Raw genomic sequence first — 23682 nt, forward strand, 5'->3', positions numbered from 1 at the left:
GAGAAGACAGAATACAGCTAATTGGCCACTTTTCCTTTTAAGTTACTAAAGGAATTTAAGCAAGCCATTAGTCAATACGGACCGAACTCTCCTTTTGTGCAAACTCTATTAAAAAATATGGCTCTTGATAATAGATTAATACCATGTGGCTGGGATACTTTGACAAAATCTGTTCTCACCCTATCTCAGTATTTGCAGTTTAAAACCTGGTGGGCTGATGAAGCTCAAACTCAGGCAGGGGAAAACATACAAGCACAGCCACCTGTGCCTGTTTCCTTTGAACAGTTAATGGGAGTTGGCCCTAACTGGGGTTGATTAGAGAAATCAAGCAGTAATGGAGGATGCTGCCATTGTTCAGCTGCGCTTTGTGTGCTTATGGGCATGGGAAAGGATAAATGTTACAGGCGAAAAACATCCTTCTGTCAGTTCTATCCGTCAAGGACCTAAAGAACCATATATTGATTTTATTGCTCAGCTCCAAGAGGCTGTGTATAAAGCCATTACTAATAAAACGGCTCAGGATGTTGTAATACAGCTTCCTGCATACGAAAATGCTAGTGCAGTGTCAAACTGCTATTAGACCCCTGAGAGGGACGGCTCATTTAGCTAAATATATTAAGGATTGCGATGGCATTGGAGGTAACTTACATAAGGCAACTCTTTTAGCTCAGGCTATGGCTGGATTAAGAGTAGGAAAGAATATACCCCATTTCTCAGGCCCTTGCTTTAATTGTGGTCAATTTGGACACCCAAGAAAGGAATGTAGAAAAGGAAATCAAAAGGCAAACATTACTACCATCAGTCAACAGAAAAGTCCCGGTATATGTCTCCAGTGTAAGAAAAGCAAACACTGGGCAAGTCAGTGTCATTCTAAATTTAACAAGGATGGACAACCTCTTTCAGGAAACGGGAAGAGAGGCCTGCCTCGAGCCCCTCAACAAACCAAGGCACAGCCATGCCCTTACAAACGTGCAACAATTGTCCCCCACTTCAGCAGGCAGTGCTGCCATAGACCTCTACAGCACAATTACCATCTCCTTAGGAGAGGTGAAGCCGACTGGGCTTCTGGGTCGGGTGGGGACTTGGGTAACTTTTCTGTCTACCTAAGGATTGTAAACACATCAATCAGCACTCTGTCTAGCTAAAGGTTTGTAAACGCACCAATCAGCACTGTGTAAAAACGGACCAATCACCTCTCTGTAAAATGGACCAATCAGCAGGATGTGGGTGGGGCCAAGTAAGGGAATAAAAGCTGGCCACCCAAGCCGCAGTGGCAATCCGCTGGGGTGCTGTTTCATGCTGTGGAAGCTTTGTTCTTTTGCTCTTCACAATAAATTTTGCTGCTGCTTCCTCTGGGTCTGCACTACCTTTATGAGCTGTAACACTCACCGTGAGGGTCTGTGGCTTCATTCCTGAAGTCAGCAAGGCCACGAACCCATCAGGAGGAACCAACAACTCCAGACGTGCCCCTTTAAGAGCTGTAACACTGCAAAGTTCTGTGGCTTCACTCCTGAAGTCAAGCGAGACCACAAACCCACCGGAAGGAAGAAACTCCAGACACATCTGAACATCTGAAGGAACAAACTCCGGACACACCATCTTTAAGAGCTATAACACTTACCATGAGGGTCCGCGGCTTCATTCTTGAAGTCAGCAAGACCAAGAACCCACCAGAAGGAACCAATTCCGGACACACTTCCTGGGGAGCCACCAAAGAAGGTCCCCATGGGAGTTAGGAGACCCTTATCCTCAGGAACAGTCGGTCTATTACTTGGAAGGTCTAGTCTAAATTTAAAAGGTGTGCCAGGTGTGGTAGCTCACGACTGTAATCCCAGCACTCTGGGAGGCCAAGGCAGGCAGATCATGAGGTCAGGAGATTGAGACCATCCTGGCTAATATGGTGAAACCTCGTCTCTACTAAAAAATACAAAAACTAATAGCCAGGTGTTGTGGTGGGCGCCTATAATCCCAGCTACTTGGGAGGTTGAGACAAGAGAATGGCATGAACCCGGGAGGCGGAGCTTGCAGTGAGCCAAGATCGTGCCACTGCACTCCAGCCTGAGTGACAGAGTGAGACTCCATCTCAACAAAAAAAATTAAAAGGTGTTACTATACATACAGGAATAATTGACTCTGATTATACTGGAGAAATTCAATTTGTTATTAGTTCCTTGACTCTGTGGTCTGCCTCCCCAGGAGAAAGAATTGCTGATTTGTTGCTGTTACCTTACATAAAACTAGGCAGCAGCACAGTGAAAAGAACAGGAGGCTTTGGTAATAGTAATCCAGCAGGAAAGGCTGTATATTGGGTTAATCAAGTGTCTGACGAAAGACCTGTTTGCACAGTAACCATTCAGGGAAAAGATTTTGAAGGACTAGCAGATACTGGAGCTGATGTCTCTATTATTGCTATAAAGCAATGGCCCCTGCACTGGCCTAAACAAAAGGCATCCATTGGTATTGCTGGAGTAGGAGCTGCCTCAGAAGTTTTTCAGAGTTCTTTGATTTTACCATCTCAAGGGCCTGATGGTCAGGAAGGGACAATTCAGCCTATCATTATACCTATTCCTGTCAATTTATGGGGTAGAGACTTATTGCAATAATGGGATGCTGAAATATCTATTCCTGTGGATCAATATAGTAATAATAGTAGACAAATAATGAAAAATGTGGGATATCACCCAGGAAAAGAACTAGGAAAAAATAAAAATGGCCAATCAGAACCTTTAGAAGGACAAACAGATCGGACCGGATTGGGGTGTCATTTTTAGGAGCAGCCATTGTTGAGCCTCCAGTTCCCATTCTTGTGTGGCTAACTGCCAAACCAGTTTGGGTGGAGCAATGGCTGCTGAAACAGGAAAAACTGGAGGCTTTAAAAGAACTGGTGCAGGAACAATTGCAAAAGGGACATATAGAGCCTACTTTCTCCCCTTAGAATTATCCTGTATTTGTCATTAAGAAAAAATCAGGGAAATGGAGAATGTTAACAGATTTAAAAGCTGTTAATGCTGTGATTCAAGCCATGGGTGCGCTACAACCATGGCTGACCTCCCCAACAATGATCCCAAAATACTGGCCTCTCATAGTGATAGATCTAAAGGATTGCTTTTTTACCATTCCTTTAGCTGCCCAAGATTATGAAAAATTTGCTTTTACTGTTCCTGCCATAAATAATAAAAAAACCAGCAGATGATCTGGTTGAATGGCTTTTTCTACCTCACAATACAACCAAAACACTCACTCTGTACTTAGATCAAATTGCTGTGCTAGTAGGGCAAGCGAGGCTGCGCACAACAAATCTAATGGGATATGATCCAAATCAGATTATAGTTCCATTAACTAAACAACAAATTCAACAAGCCTATATTAATTCCCAAGAATGGCAGGTTAATTTGGCCAGTTTTGTTGGCATTCTTGATAATCATTATCCTAAGTCTAAAATCTTCCAGTTTCTGAAATTAACATCCTGGATATTGCCTTCTATTACTCAAAAAGCCCCTATTGAAGGAGCCATTACTGTTTTTATTGATGGATCTAATAATGGAAAAGCCTCATTTGCAAGACCTCAACAGCAAGTTTTTCAAACAGACTGCTTCTTTCTGCTCAAAGGACTGAACTTATGGCTGTGATAATAGTGTTAAAAACTTTTAAACAGCCAGTAAACATTGTTTCTGATTCAGCCTATGTAGTGCAAGCCATGCAAAATATTGAATGTGCCTTAATTCGAAATGTGACTGATGGAACAACTTAATCTTTTATTTCATTCTTTACAGAAAGCAGTGCAATAAAGGCATTCCCCTTTCTATACCACTCATATGAGAGCACGTACTAACCTCCCTGGTCCTTTAACTAAACTTAATAAAAGGGCGGATGCATTGGTGTCTGCAGCCTTTGCTGATGCACAAACATTTCATTCTTCAACCCATCTTAATGCCTCAGGCCTTAGAAGAAGATATGGTCTATCATGGAAATAAGCTAAAGAAATTGTGCAACACTGTTCTGCCTGCCAAGTCCTGCATCTGCCACATAAAAGAACAGGAGTTAACCCTAGAGGTTTATCTCCAAATTCCATCTGGCAGATGGATGTAACACGTATTCCTGCTTTTAGAAAACTGTACTTTCGGGGCCAGGCACGGTGGCTCACGCCTGTAATCCCAGCACTTTGGGAGGCCGAGGCAGGCGGATCACAAGGTCAGGAGATCGAGACCATCCTGGCTAACATGGTGAAACCCCATCTCTACTAAAAATACAAAAAATTAGCTGGGCGTGGTGGCAGGCGCCTGTAGTCCCAGCTACTTGGGAGGCTGAGGCAGGAGAATGGCATGAACCCAGGAGGCGGAGCTTGCAGTGAGCAGAGATCGTGCCACTGCACTCCAGCCTGGGCAACAGAGCGAGACTGTCTCAAAAAAAAAAAAAGAAAAGAAAAGAAAATTCTCCTTTGTTCATGTTTCAGTAGATACCTATTCACATTTTACTTGGGCCACATGTCAAACAGGGGAAGCTACAGCTCATGTTAAAAGACATCTTTTATCTTCCTTTTCAGTTATGGGAATCCCAGAAAAAAATCAAAACTGGTAACGGCCCAGGATACTGTAGTAAAGCCATGGCTACATTTTTTCAACAATGGAATATTACCCATACTACAGGTATTACATATAACTCAGAAGGACAAGCATTACTGGAAAGAGCTAACCATACTTTAGAAACTCAAATATAAAAGCAAAAGGGAGGGGACCAGGAATATAAGACACCACATATGCAATTGCATTTAGCTTTATTAACATTAAATTTTTTTAATTTACAAAAAGATCAACCCGTGACTGCAGCTGAACAACACCTGGCAGGACAAAAGGAAAATAAAAAGGCTGGACAATATATATGGTGGAGGGATGCACATACAAAGAGCTGGGAAAAACGAAAGATAATTTATGGGGAAGAGGATTTGCTTGTGTCTCTCCAGGTGACAATCAGGTGCCTGTGTGGGTGCCCACCAAACATCTGAAGATCTATCATGAGCCACAGCATCTAGTGGACCCACCTGTACAGTGCAAATTGAAGGTTTAAGGATTGCTTTTATTTATTTATTTTGAGACGGAGTTTCACTCTTGATGCCCAGGCTGGAGTGCAATGGCACGATCTTGGCTCACTGCAACCTCTGCCTCCCGGGTTCAAGCGATTCTACTGCCTCAGCCTCCCGAGTAGCTGGAATTACAGGCATGCGCCACCATGCCTGGCTAATTTGTGTGTGTGTGTGTATTTTTAGTAGAGATGGGGTTTCTCCATGTTGGTCAGGCTGGTCTCGAACTCCCAACCTCAGGTGATCCTCCCACCTCAGCCTCCCAAAGTGCTGGGATTACAGGCATGAGCCACTGCGCCCGGCCTATGGATTGCTTTTAAGCTTCAATTTGCTTTCTCTGTGCCTTCTGTTAGAAGGGGCCTGCTTCTCGTTATCAAGGTAAGTTTTACCCCGTGGTAATTAACCAAAGAGGCAGAAGCTGAGTTACAAATGCTTCAGCAATGGCCTGCCTCCCAGCTGCAGCCACAAAAGTTTTTGCTTCTGTTTCAGTAGATTTACTAACATGGGGGTGAGGGTATGCTTGTGTTTTTGCAGGAGATGAGCAAACCGTGTAGGTGCCCTCAAAATGTGTATGACCATGAACAGGAGACTGGAAGGAGCCATGGATCCCAATCATGGACCGGGTTCCCCCAGTACGAGCCATGCTGAGAAACTGCTGGAACACCAGGATTTTACCTATAGATGCTTAACGGACCAATGCTTTCTGACTGAACTCCTCTCTACCCTGAATAGAAGAGACCCTAATAGGGAGGCAGGAATATCATCACCCCATTCAGCATGAAGAAGTTACAGAAAACGGACCTTCATCCTTCTGCAACCCCTAGGATTAACGGTCCTCTCGTAAAAGGGAAAGGGGAGATATGTGGGAAGCATCCAAACCAGAGCAATTCCATTTTGAAAAAGGCCTAAGAAAAATGAAGCTGGATCACCAACCAGCAATTAAGAGCTGCACAGCCTGAAATTGCCTTGCTCAATTAATTTAAAAAAGAGGCCACCTTATGCTAGTAACAATGATAGCTGTGGCAGTTTTACAAAAAAGAGAAGGGGGGCATGTTAGGAGAAAAGCTGAGTGTTGGGAGAGAAGCTCAGGCAGGGCTTGCATGTCCGCCAGACTTACTGGCTCCTTGCTTCTAGCACTCCCATTCTCTCAAGCAGCCATATGTTTCTTATTCACTTGATACACTGTTTCCTTTCAACCCCCACATCCTCACCACTTGTTTCCTTGTTTGAGCACCAGTAAATAGCGTGGGCTCCTGGCGCTCGGGGCCTTCATAGCCTCCACACTCGCGATGGCCCCCTGGTCCCACTTTCTCTCTCAAACTATCTTTTTCTCATTCCTTTGACTCCGCCAGACTTTGTCGCCCCCATGACCTGGTGTTGGGTCTGATCACCCCAACAAAACCACTGGGTATCTTGAGTGAGAAAAAGTATTGTGTGTTAGGTGCTGCATTAGGCAGTGGATTTTAGAGGCACGAACAGTAAGTTGGAACTGGAAGGAGATTTTTGCAGTCGTCTCAGGCTAGCATTGCAGTAGTAGATTGCTCTGGCATGTATAAATTTCTTAAACTGTTCTATATGATTTTGATCTATTTTATATGAGTACATGAGTCTAAACAAGGGGAAATTCATCTATAAATGACTTACAAACTACAAAAATTTGCTCACTTCAGCAGCATGCATACTAAAACTGGAATGCCAGGCACGGTGGCTCATGCCTGTAATCCCAGCACTTTGGGAGGCTGAGGCAGGCAGATCACGTGGTCAGGAGATCGAGACCATCCTGGCTAACATGGTGAAACCCCATCTCTACTAACAATACAAAAATACAATTAGCCAGGCGTGGTGGTGGGCGCCTGTAGTCCCAGCTACTTGGGAGGCTGAGGTGGGAGAATGGTGTGAACCCAGGAGGCAGAGCTTGCAGTGAGCCGAGATCGCACCACCACACTCCAGCCAGCCTGGGTGACACAGTGAGACTCCGTCTCAAAAATAAAATAAAATAAAATTGGAATGATACAGAGAAGATTAGCATGGCTCCTTTAAAGTAAAGACGTGGTCCCTGTCCTCAAGGGACTCAGAGCCTAGGAGGGGGCTGAGGCTCATATGCAGGACGTACAAAATTTCCTAGTTCATTCAGTAATTCAGCAAATGCTAAGTGAATGCCAGGCACTCACAGCGTGGGGTGGGGAGGAGTCAGAAGTGAACAAAGCAATATTCTTCCAGATAATTGACATTTGATCAGGTGATAACAAAAGCTGAGAGGAAAAATTGATTCCTCTTACAGTAGCAGGACCTGAAGCACGATGAATGACATAAGAAAGGTCTCAGTAGATTGCTGGAGGCAGAGGAGTGACTAGTTCTAGCTGGAGGGTTGGAGAAGATGTGCTTGAGATGGGCCTGAAGGGAGGGGAGAACTGGCAGGGTAACAGCATGTCACTTGGAGGCTCCAGTGGTGGCCAACAGCAAAGGCTAGGAAAATGGCAACTCCGAGGCCTGCCTGCGTCTGGACAGGAAACTTGTGATTGAGAGAATGGGCTCTGAAGCAAACTGCTCAGGGTCAGCTCCCATCCGTCCACCTCCCCCAGCTGCTATCTAACCTCTCTGAACCTTAGTTTCCCCACCTATAAACTAGGGGGGTTTTTTTGTTTTGTTTGTTTGTTTTTTTGAGACAGAGTCTCACTGCCACCCAGGCTGGAGTGCAATGGCGCAATCTCGGGTCACTGCAACCTCCGCCTCCTGGGTTCAAGCGATTCTCCTGCCTCAGCCTCCCAAGTAGCTGGGAACTCAGGTGCCCGCCACACCCAGCTAATTTTTGTATTTTTAGTAGAGATGGGGTTTCACTATGTTGGCCAAGCTGGTCTCAAACTCCTGACCTCAAGTGATCAGTCTGCCTCAACCTCACAAAGTGCTGGGATTACAGGTGTGAGCTACTGCATTCAGCCTAAACCAGAGGTTATGTTATTAGCGCCTTCCTCATAGGGTTATTGTGGGATTTCAGTGAATAAATACGTGGTTAGTGGCACTGAGCTAGTACTTGGGGAATGTCAGCCATGATTTGTAGCCCAATTTGGCTGGAACCCAGAGGGCAAGGAGCTGTGCAAGATGAGTCTGCCACATTGACTGGGATCCTTAAGAAAGGACTTAAAAGTGACAGCTAAGACATTTAGTCTTTCCCCTACAGAGGCTGTGGCAGGAAGACTGCTCTGCCCACGACAGAACGAGGAGACTGTAGGAAAGTGTGCATGGCTGGCAACTGACCCCCTGTGAGCAGTCAGGGACACGTTCTGGAACTAGGGCGGCGGCAGCAGGGATGGGGAGGAAATACTGGATGCTGGAGGATTATGAGGACAGAAAATTGGCCTGGGTAGTGTGGGAGTGGGGGTGTGACATGGATGATGCTGTGCACTCACACAGCAACGTCATGAAGGGGAGTGGCCTTGGGAGGACAGCTGATCAGTGTGGTTTTGCCTTCGAGGAGGGGTGCCCAGTGGTGATGCCCAGGAGAGGGAATGGAAACCTGGAGCTGGGAGTGAGGTTAGAGCTGTAAGATCCAAGACCCAGGGAGACAAGAGGACCCTGGGGACGAATAGGAACAGCTGAGCAAGGCAAGGCTGAGCCCCGGGCGGGCGGGTTGGGGGAACATGCCTAGCTAGAGGGCGGCAGCAGGAAAGCAGAGAAGGCATCCCTGCAGGTTGGCCCTGGGGCAGAGTGCTGGATCCCAGCAACGGACAAGTTAGTTAACTTAAAGGGGGGCATCCTCAAGGCAGTAAACTGGAGCCAAGTGGGTTAAATCCTTCTTGCTGCTATTAAGGGGAGGAGACAGGTTTCTGCAGACTCTACATTTTGGAGAGAAACAGAAAAGAATGTCCCCAAGTCTCCTTTGCCCTGCGATGCTGGGGCAGATTGGCAAGGTCCCAAGAGAAGCACAATGGTAACCGACGCTGCCCTTGGCTGAACTTCTTCTGTTAAATCCTTCGGATGTGAGTAGACTTTTATTTAATAATTTTTTTTCTTTTTTTTCTTTTTTTCAAATGAGACTGCATCTCGCTATGTTGCCCAGGCTGGTTTTGAACTCCTGGGCTCAAGCAATCCCCCCACCTCACCCTCCCAAAGTGCTGGGATGCTGGGATTACAGGCGTGAGCCACCGCACCCGGTCTGTAGCCTTTAATAATGGATTTTAAATGTGTGTAACATTTTAAAATGTGCTTATTCTTTGTTAGAATTAGGGTGAAATATCTACTTGGCTGATTTTCCTTTCTATCTATACTTGTAGTATCTAGTATATATATATTTCTACTATTACAACTGGAAGAACTTGTTCCCCCTGGTTGTACATTCCCTCATGATAAGCAAGATTTTCAGTGTTTATGTTTCAATATTCATGATTAATACTTGTCTGTTCTCCTTCACTTCCTACGCTACTTTTTCCTAAAATTCCTGGATTTTTTATCAGTTCTGTAGAGGCGGACAGCAAGGCTCAGGGCGGTAGGAAGGAAACTCCTCCAAACCTCAGTCTTCATACCCCATGGTCCGGGTGTCCAGGCAACCACCAAGCGGACCCTCGGGGCTCCATGGGGCGTCCCAGTGCCGGGGGCTGGGGGCTGGTGCTCGCTAAGTAAGGATGGGGGCAGGTCCCTGCGCACCGCGGTATCTTCCCGCCCGCTCACCAAAAGTGCGCGCGGCAGGGACGGACCCACTCCATGGATCGCGCCTCTGTCAGGCCTTCTCTAGGAAAAGGGGACACTCGCTTATGAGGGGAAGGGATGGCACGGCCACGTGCCCCAAGCCCCAGTGGCCTAATGGATAAGGCACTGGCCTCCTAAGCCAGGGATTGTGGGTTCGAGTCCCACCTGGGGTAGAGGTGAAAGTTCCTTTTACGGAATTTTTTATTTCTTTTCTCTTCCCTTCTCAGGGATGCTGGAATCGACCTTGGTCTCTAGTTCGACTCCCGTGCAACGTGTTGAGGAGGAGCCACCTCCTCCAAGCGCCTAAAGCCGGTAAGCTCGGGTCTTGCCAAGCCCTTGAATGAACAGCTTTCGTCCGGGTAGGGCCCCACAATTTCGAAGCTGGGGAAACTCGTAAGAATAAAGTTGCCCAAAGGGTTCCCAGGACACCCCAGCTCCACCTGGCGGGGCAGCCCCGGAGAACCAGAGGTAAATGACCACCGCGACTGCAAACAGAGGGTCCTGCAAGAGAAGGCGAGGGGCGCAAACAGGGCAGAGGCAAGCAGGTAGCGGGCAGGTGGTGGTGGATTCTGAGGTCTCTGGCTGCCGGCACCAAAAGAAACCTTGCGAGCACAGCCCCTCTCGACACCCCAGGTGGGACTCGAACCCACAATCCCTGGCTTAGGAGGCCAGTGCCTTATCCATTAGGCCACTGGGGCGCGGTAAGACGCTAAACCCACGTGCTCCTTGATAGGTGTTCAACCATAGTGCCCAAACACGGCCCTGCTGTGGGTCACCGCGCTCCAAGCCTGAGAAGCCATGGGGACGACAGGATGAACCGCTGGCTGGGCGCGGCGTCCCCACCGGGCTACACAAGAGCTCCATGCGGTGACGACGCGCGGGGACCAGGAGCCCGCGGTGCCCTGTAACCCCGAGAAGAAGTGCTCGGCGAGCGCAGAGGCCGGTGGAGCATAGCTGGGAGGAATAGGGATGGACGAGGGCGGAGGGAAGAACAAACCCTCAAACTATGCTGGGATTCGGGCAAGGGCTGCTCGCTCCAAAAGAGCCCGACCACAAAGGAACCCTCAATCTTATGATCTGACGTCAGACGCCTCATCCCTTAGGCCACGCGGTCGCAATTCCCAGGGAGGCTCAGAGACTAGTCCAGGTGCCGCTCCGCTCGGGGGTGACTAGGCGGGCGGCTGGGGCCAGAGGAAGGGTGAGCGCTTCGCTCAACAGGCGGCCAGGGTGCGAGCAGTGAAGCTGCGGCACGCCGGAGCGTTTAATGGCCATCAAATTGGCCTCTCTAGGAGGTAGCTGCAGCCGGAGACCGCGTGGCCTAATGGATAAGGCGTCTGACTTCGGATCAGAAGATTGAGGGTTCGAGTCCCTTCGTGGTCGGAACGTTTTAATCCCTGCAACTATAATCTTCCCTCCCTTGTTTTAGACCCAGAAACGCCTCCCAATCCCTCCACACCGCGGCTCCCGGGATCCGAAGCTGGGGAGCTGCTTCTGTCCAATCAGGCTTTGCATCCCGGGACGCTTCCGGTTATGGCGTCATTATGCAGCCAGGGTAAGTAGGGCCCCATTTCTTGTTGTCTCTCTTGAGCTGGTACCTGGAACGAGTTCAACATCCAAACATTCGCCTCGTAAACGTGCTCTACAAGCTACAATCCCACAAGCAAATGACACGGAGCGGGTTATGTTTCAGTCTATCGTTATGAAGTTAAACAGCAGACAAAACTCCAGTCTCTGGCCGGGCCCAATGGCTCACGCCTGTAATCCCAACACTTTGGGAGGCTGAGGCGGGCGGATCACGAGGTCAAAGTTCGAGACCCGCCTGACCAACATGGTGAAACCCCGTCTCTACTAAAAATACAAAAATACAAAAATTAGCCGGCCAATCGTGGTGGCACGCGCCTGTAAACCCAGCTACTCAGGAGGCGGAGGCAGCAGGAGAATCGCTTGAATCCAGGAGGCCGAGGTTGCAGTGAGCCGTGATCGCGCCACTGCACTCCAGCCTGGGCAACAGAGCGAAAGCCGTCTCAAAACAAACAAACAAACAAACAAACAAAAAACTCCAGTCCCTAGCCTCAAGGGCAGTGGGGGTGCTGCCCAACTCTGTGGCCTCAGTCCTGCTAGTGGGCTCTGTCCACACTCACACGGCACCCACCACCCCACTACTCTGTGCTTGGAGGAAGAGGGTGTCAGGATGCATGTGTGTGCAAGTGTACTTGGACATAGGGGAGAATAAATGCTAATTTTTTTTTTCTTTTTCTTCTTCCCTGAGACGGAGTCTCGCTCTGTCACCCAGGGTGGAGTGCAGTAGCGTGATCTCGGCTCACTTCAAGCTCCACCTCCTGGGTTCACGCCATTCTCCTGCCTCATCCTCCCAAAGTGTTGAGATTACAGGCGTGAGCCACTGGGCCCGGCCAGGGAATGGAGTTTTGTCTGCAGCAGACAAACAAGCTGGGGCTACAGGCGCCCGCCACCACACTGGCTAATTTTTTGTATTTTTAGTATAGACGGGGTTTCACCGTGTTAGCCAGGATGGTCTCAATTTCCTGACCTAGTGATCCGCTCACCTCGGCCTCCCGAAGTGTTGTGATTACAGGCGTGAGCCACCGCGCCCTGCCCAATTACCTTTTTAATGTAAAATTAATGCATGTACAACGCAAAAATGCTGAACAATCCAAGAGGGCATAAAAAATAAAAGTACCCCCTTCCCACCCACGTGCCTTTAGCTGAGCCTGTTCCCAGTTGTTTGTTCACTGTTATTTAGCACAGGGAATCTCCCAAAGGGCTCCCCCTAATGCTGGGGTTGCCCCCTTCACATCCCAACACCTTCACGGGGCTCAGCGGTGCTCTCCTTGAACAGCGCGAGCTCTAACTATGCTCCAAGTAAACTGCATTTTTTCTCACATCCCTGCGCTTTCACTTGGCTGTCGTCTGCATCCTCAGATCCTCAGCGGGATGGCTGAGTGCCAGTTCAGTGACTGCAGTCTCGCAGGGGAAGGGTGTGGTACTTCTGTTACGCACATTAAAGGCCTTGCACAGCTACCGCTCCTCATCTCTGCCCAGTCTTCTTGTTGACTCAAGCAGTTTTGGGGGGAGTAGACTCCGCCCCTCCGCTGCCTTTCATCTTCAACCCGGCCTTACTCCTACCAATCAGGAGCCATGCACCCAGGCTCTCCTCTGCTTATGTTAAGACTACGCTGATTTCTCGAGGGTTGTCAGGCATTGTTGCTCTTCTCCAATATACTCCGCCTGCAAAAATGGGCCAGGTGCGGTGGCTCACGCCTGAAACCCCAGCACTTTGGGAGGCCAAGGCGGGCAGATCACGAGGTCAGGAGATCGAGACCGTCCTGCCTAACACGATGAAACCCCGTCTCTACTAAAAATACAAAAAATGAGCGGGGCGTGGTGGCGGGCGCCTGTACTCCCAGCTACTCTGGAGGCTGAGGCAGGAGAATGGTGTGAACCCGGGAGGCAAAGGTTGCAATGAGCAGAAATCGTGCCACTGCACTCCAGCCTGGGCGACAAAGCAAGATTCCATATCAGAAAAAAAAAAAAAAAAAAAGAAATGGCAGAAATGTCACAAGTCTCCCCTGCGTAGACCATGCAGACTTTTCCTACAGGATTTAAGCCACATCAAGTCAGCCTTTGCTTACTTTCTTACCTAGAAACTTCCCAGGTTATCTCATTTAATTCTCATTACAATCCTGATATTTGTAAATGAGAAAATTAAATTCTCAAGACAGTAAACAATCTAAAATCAGCAATTGGGTTGTAGGCATAACAGGTCCTCTGACTTTAAGGACAATTCTTTCTACCACCATACTTTTTTCTTTAAATACTTGCATTACTCTATGATCTACTACCTTGCTTTAAACCATCTCTATTGCCTGACGTTGCTCAGGTCTGCTAACCATAGTAAATAGTGGGGATTTTAAAAATTAAGTTAAAATAATTCTCCATGTTCAGGCTGGATGCAGTGGCCCACGCCTGTAATCCCAGCACTTTGGGAGGCTGAGGCGGGCGGATCACAAGGTCAGGAGATCGAGACCATCCTGGCTAACATGGTGAAACCCCGTCTCTACTAAAAATAAAACAAATTAGCCGGGCGTGATGGCGGGCACCTGTAGTCCGAGCTACTCAGGAGGCTAAGGCAGGAGAATGGCATGAACCCATGAGGTAAAGGTTGCAGTGAGCCGAGATCGTCCCACTGCACTCCAGCCTGGGCGACAGAGTGAGACTCCATCTTAAAAAATAATAATAAAATAAAATAATTTTCCATGTTCAAATGCAAAAAGCTGTAAGTTAACTGTGCAACATAAGTTTCCCTTTTTTTTTAGAGGCAAAGTCTCGCTCTGTCACTCAGGCTGGAGTGCAGTGGCACGATCTTGGCTCACTGCAACCTCTGCCTCCCAGGTTCAATCAAGCCTCAAGCTGAGGCCAAGATGCCTCAGCCTCCCAAGTAGCTGGGATTACAGGCGCCCCCCGCCCCACCACCACGCCTGGCTAATTTCTGCATTTTTAGTAGAGATGGGGTTTCACCATCTTGGCCAGGCTGGTCTCAAACTCCTGACCTCAGGTGATCCACCCGCCTGGGCCTCCCAAAATGCTGGGATTACAGGCGTGAGCCACCATGCCCAGCCCAAAGTTTCCTTTTCTAATACCACTTTTGTGCTCAAAAGCTGAAGCACAGAGAAGTAAATCCCTGCTGTTACACCTAGCCATTTGGACCAGCTGTTCTTGTGACTTACTAATGGACAAGCAGGAGCACTCCCTTGGAACCAGGGGTTTGAAACCAAAGAGGAAGTTGAAGAGAATCAGCAGATAACAATTCTTTACTACATCACAGTGAAATACACTGCCATAGCCCCTAGTGTTATTTGTTGCCATTTCAGCAGTCCTGGGGCCTCAGTAAGTGGCGCCTACACAGCCCGTCAGACAACCAGCCCAACAAACCTGTCGAGGCTCACCTTTCCATTTAAACAAAAACCCCGCTGCCAGTGAGGCCAGCTCAGAAGAGAGGCTTAATTATCTCAACCACAGAGAAGAAGCACACCCAGAACTGTATAATTATTATTTTTAATGTCCAGAATGTGTAATACAAGGGCCAGAGCTTCCTCCTGGACTCAATTTTATAAATTCTCAATTGGTTGGTGAGGCCAATAGGGATACTTTTTCTTGTCTAATTTGGTTTCTGGGAAAGCTTCATTCAAGTCCTCAATGGTCATCTGATCAAATGGAATTAAGTTCTTCATCTTCTCCATCTGGAAAGAGGGGGAATGTGTTTAGTTAATGTAAACAGAGACGGAAAGCAGAATATCCAAGGCAGGTTCCTGCCACCAGGTGAAAGATGTGTGGTCATGAAAGAGAGAACCCATATTATAGGCAACGGCTACCCATCATCCTTACCTCTTTCTCATATTCTACAATCCTGGCCTTTGAGAGAGACACCCACTCAGCACAAGATTTCACCTTTAAGAAGAAAGAGAAATTCAGTTCTGAAACCAGGCTGCATTCTACCCCAGCAGCTGCTAAGGTAGGAGTCGTCCCAGCCCACTCCTGCTGTCCTATTGCTCTATGGAGAAACTGTGGTTACCCTGAGTGGGGGCGCTCACTCTGACAGGCAAACCACAGCTTTTCTTAACACTCACAGAGAAGCCCATATGGAAAACCAGCTTAGGATGGCAGCACCCGGCTGCTTCTGCAAGTTCCTCATCCGAAGACCTACAGAATGCCTGTTTTCACAGGGCTCAGCCACTGAATGGTCAGGACACGCCACCTGAGCACCTAGCCAGACTTCTCTCTGGTGGAGCCACTGAGTTCCATAGTTGGCCTTCAGTGCTTTCAAGCAAATAATTAGGTATTTGAATACTACTTGGGTAATTTTTCTAATTCCAACTCCTTGTTTCTAACAGCTTTGTTGAGGTATATCTGAAATATGATAAAATGCACATATTTAAAGAACACCATTTGATAAGTTTTGATATAGGTATCCACCTGTGAAACCAGCAGTCCCCTCTCAACCATCCCCAGGCAGCCACTGTAGACAAACTACATTTTCTAGAGTCTTACAAAGATGGAATCATATGCTATACTCTTCTTTTTCTTGTTGGCTTCTTTCACTCCGCATAATTATTTTGAAATTCGTCCATGTTGTTGCATTTATTGACAAGTCATTCCTTTATATGGCTGTTAACTCTTCCATTTAATTCACTCTAACTTAACTTAGCTATAATAGAGAGCTGTCAAGATCAAGAGAATTTTAGAATAAGCAGGAGCCTCAACTACTTACATCTTCTTTTTCTTCGGCATCCACCTGGGCAGTATATTTATCCTCTGGCACGGGAACCTTCAGCGCATTAAACTACAAACACAAGGGCACGGGAACCTTCAGCGCATTAAACTACAAACACAAGGACAGTGAGTCGTCGCCAATACACCCAGGAGCTCAAAGGGCTGGAAGCTACGAATCCTTAAAGGTCATACTGAAAGACATTCTGTGTCCCAAGCGGAAACGAATACGCATCTCAATACTGGAGTAGAAAGAATATTAGACTGGGAACAGGAGCTCAAGGGTCTTCTCAGCCCTATCACTAACTCGGAACCCTGGACAATTCTTTATGATGATAAGCTTCATTTTCTTCATCTGAAAAGGACAGCTGGACTTGATGACCAAAAAATGGCCTCTTAGCACCTTGAATTGTAAAGAAATTCTGATTTCTCTTCTGCATGGAACCCTAGGGAGCTGACTGGTGGAAGGAGCACTGCGTAATGAATGGTCTCCTTAGAAGACTGCTTAGTGTTAGCCGGGTGCGGTGGCTCATGCCTGTAATCCCAGCACTTTGGGAGGCTGAGGCGGGCGGATCACCTAAGGTCGGGAGTTCGAGACCAGCCTGACCAACATGGTGAAACCCCGTCTCTACTAAAAATACAAAAATTAGCTGTGCAAGGTGGCCAGCACCTGTAGTCCCAGCTACATGGGAGGCTGAGGCAAGAGAACTGCTTGAACCTGGGAGGCGGAGATTGCAGTGAGCTGAGATGGCCCCACTGCACTCCAGCCTGGGCGACAGAGCAAGACTCCGTCTCAAAAAAAAAAAAAAAAGACTGCTTAGTGTTATGGCTCCAGCACTTAACACTACCTGGCACAGAGTAGGCCCTCCATACACATCTTTGAATGAATAAGCAAATGAACTCTGGATATTGAGACTTGTGTAAATATCAGAGGAGGATAGATGGATGAGAAATTACAGCTATAAGGGACAGTTAAAAAAAGCAGAGGCTGGGCATGGTGGCTCACACCTGTACTCCCAGCACTTTGGGAGGCCAAGGAGGGTGGATCACCTGAGCTCAGGAGTTCGAGACCAGTCTGGGCAACATGGCGAAACCCCGTCTCTACCAAAAATACAAAAAATTAGCCAGGCATGGTGGTGCTGTGGTCCCAGTTACTCGGGGGGATGAGGTGGGAGGAAGGCTTGAGCCCGGGAGAAAGAGGTTGCAGTGAGCTGAGATGGCGCCACTGCACTCCAACCTGAGTGACAGAGTGAGACTCCAACTCAAAAAAAAAAAAAAAAGAAGAGCAGAGAGGTGGATTGCCTGAGCCCAGAGTTTGAGACCAGCCTGAGCAATATGACAAAAACCTGTCTCTACCAAAAAAAAAAAAAAAACAAAACGAAAATTTATCAGGTGTGGTGGTGGCATGCACCTGTAGTCCCAGCTACTCAGGAGGCTAAGACAGAAGGATGGCTTGAGCTTGGGAGGCAGAGGCTGCAGTAAGCTGAGATTGCGCCACTGCACTCCACCCTGGGTGACAGAGCAAAACTCCGTCTCAAAAGAAAAAGGACAGGAAAAGAGTAGAAAAAAAGTCAGTTTGTTCCAAAGGGAGACAGGAAGGAAGCTAAAAGGAACCCAGGAGGTGGGCAAACATTTAACTTGAAAGCCCCCTGGGGCGTGGTGGCGCATGCCTGGCTGAGGCACGTGGATTGCTTGAGCCCAAGAGTTCTGGGCTGTAGCGCGTTATGCCGATCGGGTGTCTTCACCAAGTTCAGCATCAATATGGTGACCTCCCAGGAGCGGGGGACCACCAGGTTGCCTAAGAAGGGGTGAACCGGCCCAGGTCAGAAACAGAGCAGGTCAAAACTCCTGTGCTGATCAGAAAGCCCTCTGGCTCCCAGATTAAGGCTACACTCTACTGCTGAATGAACAGAGCCTAAATTCCTGCACCTATTTACAGTTCAATCGACCACAAGGCCTTTGGCCATACGCATCCTTCCTAAGCTTCCTTAGGGATCTGGCTGTCATGCTGTGTATGTAATTATCCCTGTTCCTGCTCCCTACCCACAGGCATGTTACAAGCTCAGTGCTTTAGAGGTGTGAAGTCTCACCTTCTTCTCAAAGTCATCCACCAAGCCAGCCTTGGCCACATTGGCCTTGTAGTAAGCCCAGTCGATAGCTGGTGGATTCTCAGGTAAAGCAGCCAACCTGCCCACAAGGAAAGGCAAAAGTTAGGATTGTTCATAAGCAGTAGAAAATTCACATGGTAATTTTCCTATCCCTTCTTCCTATGGCCTGGAGGGTCACCACACTTTCCTCTCCTAAGATCATCATGAAAATGCAAGGATTTCTTTATATGTTGTCATAAGGGCATCAAGAATTCATATGTAATTCCTTAATACTGTTTTGTTTCTAGATTCAGTGGCAAGTATGGGGTTCCCTCTCAGAAACATACTGACCTGGAGGTGAGGGTCTCATTCCAGGATTTCAGGGAACTAGCAATGGCCTTTTGGTTCTGGGGTATGATCTCTGCAAAAGCTACCCAGTCAATGGTTTTTAGAGCAAGTTTTCGCCCAGCCATTTTGGGATCCTGAAAAATAAGTCAAATAAAAACAAGGCTTTTTTATGAGGTGAATTTTCAGTTGGGAAAAATGATAAATAACAAAATAAGAGCTCTTAGAGAGAATCCTTTAAATCTTAGAAACATGCAAGTCTTCACAAGAATCACTTGAACCCAGGAGGTGGAGGTTGCAGTGAGTCGAGACTGCATCACTGCACTCCAGCCTGGGAGACACAGCAAGACTCCAACTCAAAAAAAAAGAAAAAAAGACAGTGTAGCTTTTCAAATTCAAGGTAATTCAAGGTGTGCGGCCAGGCGCAGTGGGCTCACGCCTGTAATCCCAGCACTTTGGGAGGCCAAGACGGTTGGATCACCTGAGGTCAGGAGTTCGAGACCAGCATGGCCAACATGGCAAAACCCCATCTCTATTAAAAATACAATAATTAGCCAGCCGTGGTGGCCCGCGCCATAATCCCAGCTACTCCAGAGGCTGAGGCATAAGAATCACTTGAACCCAGGAGGCAGAGGTTGTAATGAGCTGAGATGGCATCAGTGCACCCTAGCCTGGGCAACACAGCAAGAGTCCGTCTCAAAAAGAAAAGGAAAGGACAGTGTAGCTTTTCAAATTCAAAGTGTGCAATGTGGCATACAAATACATTCTCTCCCAACTCCTATTTAGCCTTAAAAGCCCAGCTCTCTTGGCCGGGCGCAGTGGCTCATTTCTGTAATCCCAGCACTTTGGGAGGCTGAGGTGGGTGGATCACTTGAGGTCAGGAGTTCAAGACCAGCCTGAGCAATAGGGTGAAACCCTGCCTCTACTAAAAAATACAAAAATTAGCCGGGCGTGATGGCATGCACCTGTAGTCCCAGGTACTCAAGAGGCTTAGACAGGACAATCACTTGAACCTGGGCGGCGGAGGTTGCAGTGAGCTGAGATAGCGCCATTGCACTCCAGCCTGGACACAGAGTGAGACTCTGTCTCAAAAAAAAAAAAAAAAACAAACCCCAGCTCTCTTTATCCCCTCCATGTGCCTCTGGAAAAATTACTAAAAATAACACTCTTATTGCATAAAAGTTAATAAAGACATTTCCACCCAGATTGTGTTTTATTCACTGATTCTCCAGTAGACAGAAACTGACACACACCTAAGTTTCAACAAGCCTTAAATAGAGCACTCTCTAGGCTAAAATTTACTTATGTGTACAATGGGCATTATCAGTCCTGCTTGCCCCAGAGGGCTGCTAAAAGTGTCACATGAAATTGTGCACAGCAACTTGCTCCAGAGTTTTACAAACTTAAAAGGGCTATCCCCTTCCAACTAGATTGGTAATACACCTGCACCTTCTTATTCACATCGGATTATACCCTAGCAGCACCAGCACACGTTGTGCACTTTTTTTTTTTTTTTTTTTGAGATGGAGTTTCACTCTGTCCCCCGGGCTGGAGTGCAGTGGCATCATCTTGGCTCACTGCAACCTCCACCTCCCAGGCTCAAGCGATTCTCCTGCCTCAGCCTCCGGAGTAGCTGGGATTACAGGCACCCACCACCACACCCAGCTAATTTTTGTATTTTTTTTTTTTTTTTTGAGACGGAGTCTCGCTCTGTCGCCCAGGCCGGACTGCGGACTGCAGTGGCGCAATCTCGGCTCACTGCAAACTCCGCTTCCCGGGTTCACGCCATTCTCCTGCCTCAGCCTCCCGAGTAGCTGGGACTACAGGCGCCCGCCACCGCGCCCGGCTAATTTTTTGTATTTTTAGTAGAGACGGGGTTTCACCTTGTTAGCCAGGATGGTCTCGATCTCCTGACCTCATGATCCACCCGCCTCGGCCTCCCAAAGTGCTGGGATTATAGGCGTGAGCCACCGCGCCCGGCCCTAATTTTTGTATTTTTAGTAGAGACAGGGTTTCTCCACGTTGGCCAGGATGGGCTGAAACTCCAGACCTCAGGTGATCCACCCACCTCAGCCTTGCAAAGTGCTGGAATTACAGGCATGAGCCACCGCGCCCGGCCTGCATTTTAAGAGGTATTCAACACATGTGAAAATGTGAGAAAAATACAGAAAACGACTACAGCCACTTAAAAAAAAAGTCAGAATATAGGAAAATAGTCCTCTTTAAGTAAGATCAGGGTCAGATATTAAAAGACTGCAAAGTCAAAAATCTCTATAAGCTTGGAGTGGAATGCAAGGGAGGCGGAAGCAGTCTTTCTCAGGATCTTCAAGAAAGTTGTCAAACACCTGTCCTGTCCTTCCTTTCTTTCTCAGGACAGCCTGTTTCCTGTTGTGGAGGGGAGGTGTTAAGGCAATTGGCATGTGATTTTAAAGTTACCAGGGAACCAAGCACCCTTACAGACTTTCCCAAACATCAGTGTATCGGGGAACTTGCCCCGATAGTCACATAGGTTCTTTTCTATTTTCCTAAGCGTCGACTGGCTTGACAGAGTACAAAAGAGAGAAATTTTAAAGCTGGGCGTCCGGGGGAGACATCACACGTTGGTAGGATCCGTGATGCCCCACAAGCCACAAAAACCAGCAAGTTTTTATTAGGGAGTTTCAAAAGGGGAGGGAGTATACGAATAGGTGTGGGTGACAGACATCAAGTACTTAACAGGGTAATAGAATATCACAAGGCAAGTGGAGGCAGGGTGAGATCACAAGACCACAGGACCAGAGCGAAATTAAAATTGCTAATGAAGTTTTGGGCACCATTGTCATTGATAACATCTTATCAGGAGACAGGGTTTTCAGATCAACCGGTCTGACCAAAATTTATTAGGTGGGAATTTCCTTTTCCTAATAAGCCTGGGATCGCTATGGGAGACTGGAGTTTATTTCACCCCTGCAGTCTCAACCATAAGAGACAGGTACGCCCCAGGGGGGCCAGTTCAGAGACCTACCCCTAGGTGCGCATTCTCTTTCTCAGGGATATCCCATGCTGAGAAAAAGAATTCAGCGATATTTCTCCCATTTGCTTTTGAAGGAAGAGAAATATGGCTCTGTTCTGCCCGGCTCACCGGCGGTCAGAGTTTAAGGTTCTCTCTTGTTCCCTGAACAATTGCTGTTATCCTGTTCTTTTTTCAGGGTGCCCACATTTCATATTGCTCAAACACACATGCTGTACAATTTTTGTAGTTAACACAATTATTACAGGGTCCTGGAACGATATACATCCTCAACTGACAGGATTAAGAGATTAAAGACAAGACAGGCATAGGAAATCAGAAGAGTATTGACTGGGGAAGTGATAAGTGTCCATGAAATCTCTACAATTTATGTTTAGAGATTGCAGTAAAGACAGGCATAAGAAATTACAAAAGTATTAATTTGGGGAACTAATAAATGTCCATAAAATCTTCACAATCCACGTTCTTCTGCCATGGTTTCAGCCGGTCTCTCTGTTTGGGGTCCCTGATTTCCCGCAACATCAGTGGAAAATGGAAGTCACAAATAACTTTGTGTGTGTGTGTGAGTGAGACGGAGTCTCGCACTGTCGCCTGGGCTGGAGTGTAGTGGCGTGGTCTCGGCTCACTGCAACCTCCGCCTCCCGGGTTCAAGCGATTCTCCTGCCTCAGCCTCCCGAGCAGCTGGGATTATAGGGGCCTTCCACCACGCCCAGCTAATTTTTTGTATTTTTAGTAGAGGCGGGGTTTCACTACGTTGGCCAGGCTGGTCTCGAACTCCTGACCTCGCGATTCGCCCGCCTTGGCCTCCTAAAATTCTGGGATTACAGGCGTGAGCCACCGCGCCCGGCGAAATTTTTTTTAATTCTTAAAAATCTATTGCTTAATCCCCAGCGCCTAGAACAGATCATGCGCATAGGAGGTGCTCAATGAATCTTTCTTGAATGAGTAACCGAACTCTGCACCCGAGGAGCCCTGAACGCTCTATACGTTCGAATCCTGGAAGCTGCCGAAGGGGAAGGGCGCAGCCCCGCAGCCAGCTGAGCGTCCCTCGGCAGGTTAACACTGTCTGCGTAATGTTTCCCCAGTCCCCCCACCAAACTATTGAAGTCTGCCGCGCTGGGAGCGGACTGCACGAGACACGGCTTGTGGCAGCGCCTACATCAGCGGCGCCTGGGACACAGCCGGGCCCCCCTGACCCCGCGCGCCAAGGAGGGCTGAGGAAGGGATCGCGGGGCGAGGAGCGGCAGCTACACAAGGGACACTCTGCCAGCGGGGCAAGCCGAGGGCCCAGCGTCCTTGACGGGGGCGTGACAAGGGTCGGCGTGAGGTTTGGAGAGGGCAGAGCAGAGGAGCCCTCCAGGGATCGGATCCAATGCCCCAAGCCCCACTCACCTTCACCGACCCTGGCTGCCCACGGTCCTCCGCAGCAAGTAACGGAAGTGGGTCACGGGAAGATCTTTCCTCAGCCAACCCCAAAGCCAAGGGGGTGGGCCTTGCTTCGCAGATCAGCCAATAGAGATGAGGGCTGGTTCCGGAAGTATCTTCCCGGGGGCGGGCACAGCGCCTCCCCCGCGCGGGTCCCCGGGCGCTGGTTGGGGGCGCTCCCGTCCCTCTCCCCTCTGCCCCACCCCCGCCGATGGGCCGGCCCGGCTCTCCCTGCCGAGAAATGGGCCGGCCCGGCTGCGCGCGGGCAGCAGCGGTGGCGGCGGCGGTCCAAGATGGCGGAACTGCAGCTGGACCCGGCGATGGCGGGGCTGGGAGGGGGCGGCGGGAGTGGGGTGGGCGACGGGGGTGGCCCAGTCCGCGGGCCCCCCAGCCCACGCCCGGCTGGCCCCACGCCCCGCGGGCACGGCCGCCCGGCTGCCGCCGTCGCGCAGCCGCTGGAGCCGGGTCCCGGACCACCCGAGCGGGCAGGGGGCGGCGGCGCGGCCCGCTGGGTCAGGCTGAACGTGGGAGGCACCTACTTCGTGACCACCAGACAGACCTTAGGCCGGGAGCCCAAGTCATTTCTCTGCCGCCTCTGCTGCCAGGAGGACCCGGAGCTGGACTCAGACAAGGTGTGCCCCGCCCTCGGGCGCGCCCCCGGGCCTTCGAACCCCCTGGTTTCTCGTAGATCGGTCCCCAGAGTCCTGAGACACGCTCCTCACAGGCAGCCCCCTCAGGCCGGGACCCCATCCTCCCCCTCCCTCCCACAC

The 23682-nt window shown here is 48.8% G+C and overlaps 2 protein-coding genes, 3 non-coding genes and 2 pseudogenes across 8 annotated transcripts in view, besides 14 other annotated features; 5 read left to right on the forward strand and 2 right to left on the reverse strand.

Annotated features, from left to right (window-relative positions):
- Nucleotides 1146–1303: a silencer, noted in NCBI's record as "fragment chr17:73021286-73021443 (GRCh37/hg19 assembly coordinates)". NCBI's record gives its function as "represses an EF-1alpha promoter that drives an FKBP-Casp9 reporter gene in an ReSE screen in HepG2 liver carcinoma cells {active_cell/tissue: HepG2}" and the evidence as "EXISTENCE:reporter gene assay evidence [ECO:0000049][PMID:32094911]".
- On the forward strand, nucleotides 7052–7141 carry RNU6-362P (RNA, U6 small nuclear 362, pseudogene; annotated as a pseudogene).
- The window catches only part of KCTD2 (potassium channel tetramerization domain containing 2), a 33316-nt gene continuing 18159 nt past the window's right edge, over nucleotides 8526–23682 (forward strand). The window contains exons 1-3 of one of the 3 annotated variants that reach the window (NR_110835.2): nucleotides 8526–8679; nucleotides 9988–10072; nucleotides 11187–11312. Coding sequence is in view for 1 of the 3 variants with exons in the window: in NM_015353.3 (NP_056168.1) it covers nucleotides 23206–23544 (339 nt within the window). In the remaining 2 variants the exon portion in view is untranslated. Of the gene's footprint in view, nucleotides 8680–9987; nucleotides 10073–11186; nucleotides 11313–23179; nucleotides 23545–23682 lie in introns of those variants that run through there. The other 2 variants (NR_110834.2, NM_015353.3) reach the window with 2 other exon arrangements.
- Nucleotides 9663–10644: an enhancer, noted in NCBI's record as "OCT4-NANOG-H3K27ac-H3K4me1 hESC enhancer chr17:73029803-73030784 (GRCh37/hg19 assembly coordinates)". NCBI's record gives its function as "activates a minimal SCP1, AML or CMV promoter by ChIP-STARR-seq in naive H9 embryonic stem cells {active_cell/tissue: H9 hESC(naive)}" and the evidence as "EXISTENCE:reporter gene assay evidence [ECO:0000049][PMID:30033119]".
- On the forward strand, nucleotides 9861–9933 carry TRR-CCT1-1 (tRNA-Arg (anticodon CCT) 1-1). Its single transcript has one exon. It is a non-coding gene; the product is annotated as a tRNA-Arg (tRNA).
- Nucleotides 10041–10120: an enhancer, noted in NCBI's record as "active region_12728". NCBI's record gives its function as "activates an Ori minimal core promoter by ATAC-STARR-seq in GM12878 lymphoblastoid cells {active_cell/tissue: GM12878}" and the evidence as "EXISTENCE:reporter gene assay evidence [ECO:0000049][PMID:35858748]".
- Nucleotides 10151–10220: an enhancer, noted in NCBI's record as "active region_12729". NCBI's record gives its function as "activates an Ori minimal core promoter by ATAC-STARR-seq in GM12878 lymphoblastoid cells {active_cell/tissue: GM12878}" and the evidence as "EXISTENCE:reporter gene assay evidence [ECO:0000049][PMID:35858748]".
- Nucleotides 10381–10550: a silencer, noted in NCBI's record as "silent region_8951". NCBI's record gives its function as "represses an Ori minimal core promoter by ATAC-STARR-seq in GM12878 lymphoblastoid cells {active_cell/tissue: GM12878}" and the evidence as "EXISTENCE:reporter gene assay evidence [ECO:0000049][PMID:35858748]".
- On the reverse strand, nucleotides 10386–10458 carry TRR-CCT2-1 (tRNA-Arg (anticodon CCT) 2-1). Its single transcript has one exon. It is a non-coding gene; the product is annotated as a tRNA-Arg (tRNA).
- Nucleotides 10671–10740: an enhancer, noted in NCBI's record as "active region_12730". NCBI's record gives its function as "activates an Ori minimal core promoter by ATAC-STARR-seq in GM12878 lymphoblastoid cells {active_cell/tissue: GM12878}" and the evidence as "EXISTENCE:reporter gene assay evidence [ECO:0000049][PMID:35858748]".
- On the forward strand, nucleotides 11068–11140 carry TRR-TCG3-1 (tRNA-Arg (anticodon TCG) 3-1). The gene has a single exon. It is a non-coding gene; the product is annotated as a tRNA-Arg (tRNA).
- Nucleotides 11111–11240: a silencer, noted in NCBI's record as "silent region_8952". NCBI's record gives its function as "represses an Ori minimal core promoter by ATAC-STARR-seq in GM12878 lymphoblastoid cells {active_cell/tissue: GM12878}" and the evidence as "EXISTENCE:reporter gene assay evidence [ECO:0000049][PMID:35858748]".
- Nucleotides 11732–11891: a silencer, noted in NCBI's record as "fragment chr17:73031872-73032031 (GRCh37/hg19 assembly coordinates)". NCBI's record gives its function as "represses an EF-1alpha promoter that drives an FKBP-Casp9 reporter gene in an ReSE screen in both phorbol 12-myristate 13-acetate-treated (for megakaryocytic differentiation) and untreated K562 erythroleukemia cells {active_cell/tissue: K562 | K562(+PMA)}" and the evidence as "EXISTENCE:reporter gene assay evidence [ECO:0000049][PMID:32094911]".
- ATP5PD (ATP synthase peripheral stalk subunit d) lies at nucleotides 14818–22924 on the reverse strand. Of its 2 annotated transcripts, NM_006356.3 has the most exons (6): nucleotides 22880–22924; nucleotides 18484–18614; nucleotides 18136–18232; nucleotides 16047–16118; nucleotides 15164–15226; nucleotides 14818–15018 (listed from the first exon to the last, which is right to left on the reverse strand). In NM_006356.3, exons 2-6 carry the CDS (start codon nucleotides 18603–18605, stop codon nucleotides 14887–14889), a joined length of 486 nt encoding a protein of 161 aa, NP_006347.1. In that variant the 5' UTR covers nucleotides 18606–18614; nucleotides 22880–22924; the 3' UTR covers nucleotides 14818–14886. The 2 variants fall into 2 exon arrangements, with proteins under 2 accessions (NP_006347.1, NP_001003785.1); NM_001003785.2 differs by lacking the exon at nucleotides 16047–16118.
- Nucleotides 17222–17792: an enhancer, noted in NCBI's record as "NANOG-H3K27ac-H3K4me1 hESC enhancer chr17:73037362-73037932 (GRCh37/hg19 assembly coordinates)". NCBI's record gives its function as "activates a minimal SCP1, AML or CMV promoter by ChIP-STARR-seq in naive H9 embryonic stem cells {active_cell/tissue: H9 hESC(naive)}" and the evidence as "EXISTENCE:reporter gene assay evidence [ECO:0000049][PMID:30033119]".
- On the forward strand, nucleotides 17718–17906 carry RN7SL573P (RNA, 7SL, cytoplasmic 573, pseudogene; annotated as a pseudogene).
- Nucleotides 22391–22460: an enhancer, noted in NCBI's record as "active region_12731". NCBI's record gives its function as "activates an Ori minimal core promoter by ATAC-STARR-seq in GM12878 lymphoblastoid cells {active_cell/tissue: GM12878}" and the evidence as "EXISTENCE:reporter gene assay evidence [ECO:0000049][PMID:35858748]".
- Nucleotides 22391–23290: a biological region, named in NCBI's record as "Sharpr-MPRA regulatory region 3986".
- Nucleotides 22399–22984: an enhancer, noted in NCBI's record as "H3K27ac hESC enhancer chr17:73042539-73043124 (GRCh37/hg19 assembly coordinates)". NCBI's record gives its function as "activates a minimal SCP1, AML or CMV promoter by ChIP-STARR-seq in primed H9 embryonic stem cells {active_cell/tissue: H9 hESC(primed)}" and the evidence as "EXISTENCE:reporter gene assay evidence [ECO:0000049][PMID:30033119]".
- Nucleotides 22861–23290: a silencer, noted in NCBI's record as "silent region_8953". NCBI's record gives its function as "represses an Ori minimal core promoter by ATAC-STARR-seq in GM12878 lymphoblastoid cells {active_cell/tissue: GM12878}" and the evidence as "EXISTENCE:reporter gene assay evidence [ECO:0000049][PMID:35858748]".
- Nucleotides 22869–23163: an enhancer, noted in NCBI's record as "tiled region #3986; HepG2 Activating non-DNase unmatched - State 1:Tss, and K562 Activating DNase matched - State 1:Tss". NCBI's record gives its function as "activates a minimal TATA promoter and a strong SV40 promoter by Sharpr-MPRA in HepG2 and K562 cells {active_cell/tissue: HepG2 | K562}" and the evidence as "EXISTENCE:reporter gene assay evidence [ECO:0000049][PMID:27701403]".

The sequence above is a fragment of the Homo sapiens genome, chromosome 17 (genome assembly GCF_000001405.40).
Source record: "Homo sapiens chromosome 17, GRCh38.p14 Primary Assembly".
NCBI lineage: Eukaryota > Metazoa > Chordata > Mammalia > Primates > Hominidae > Homo > Homo sapiens.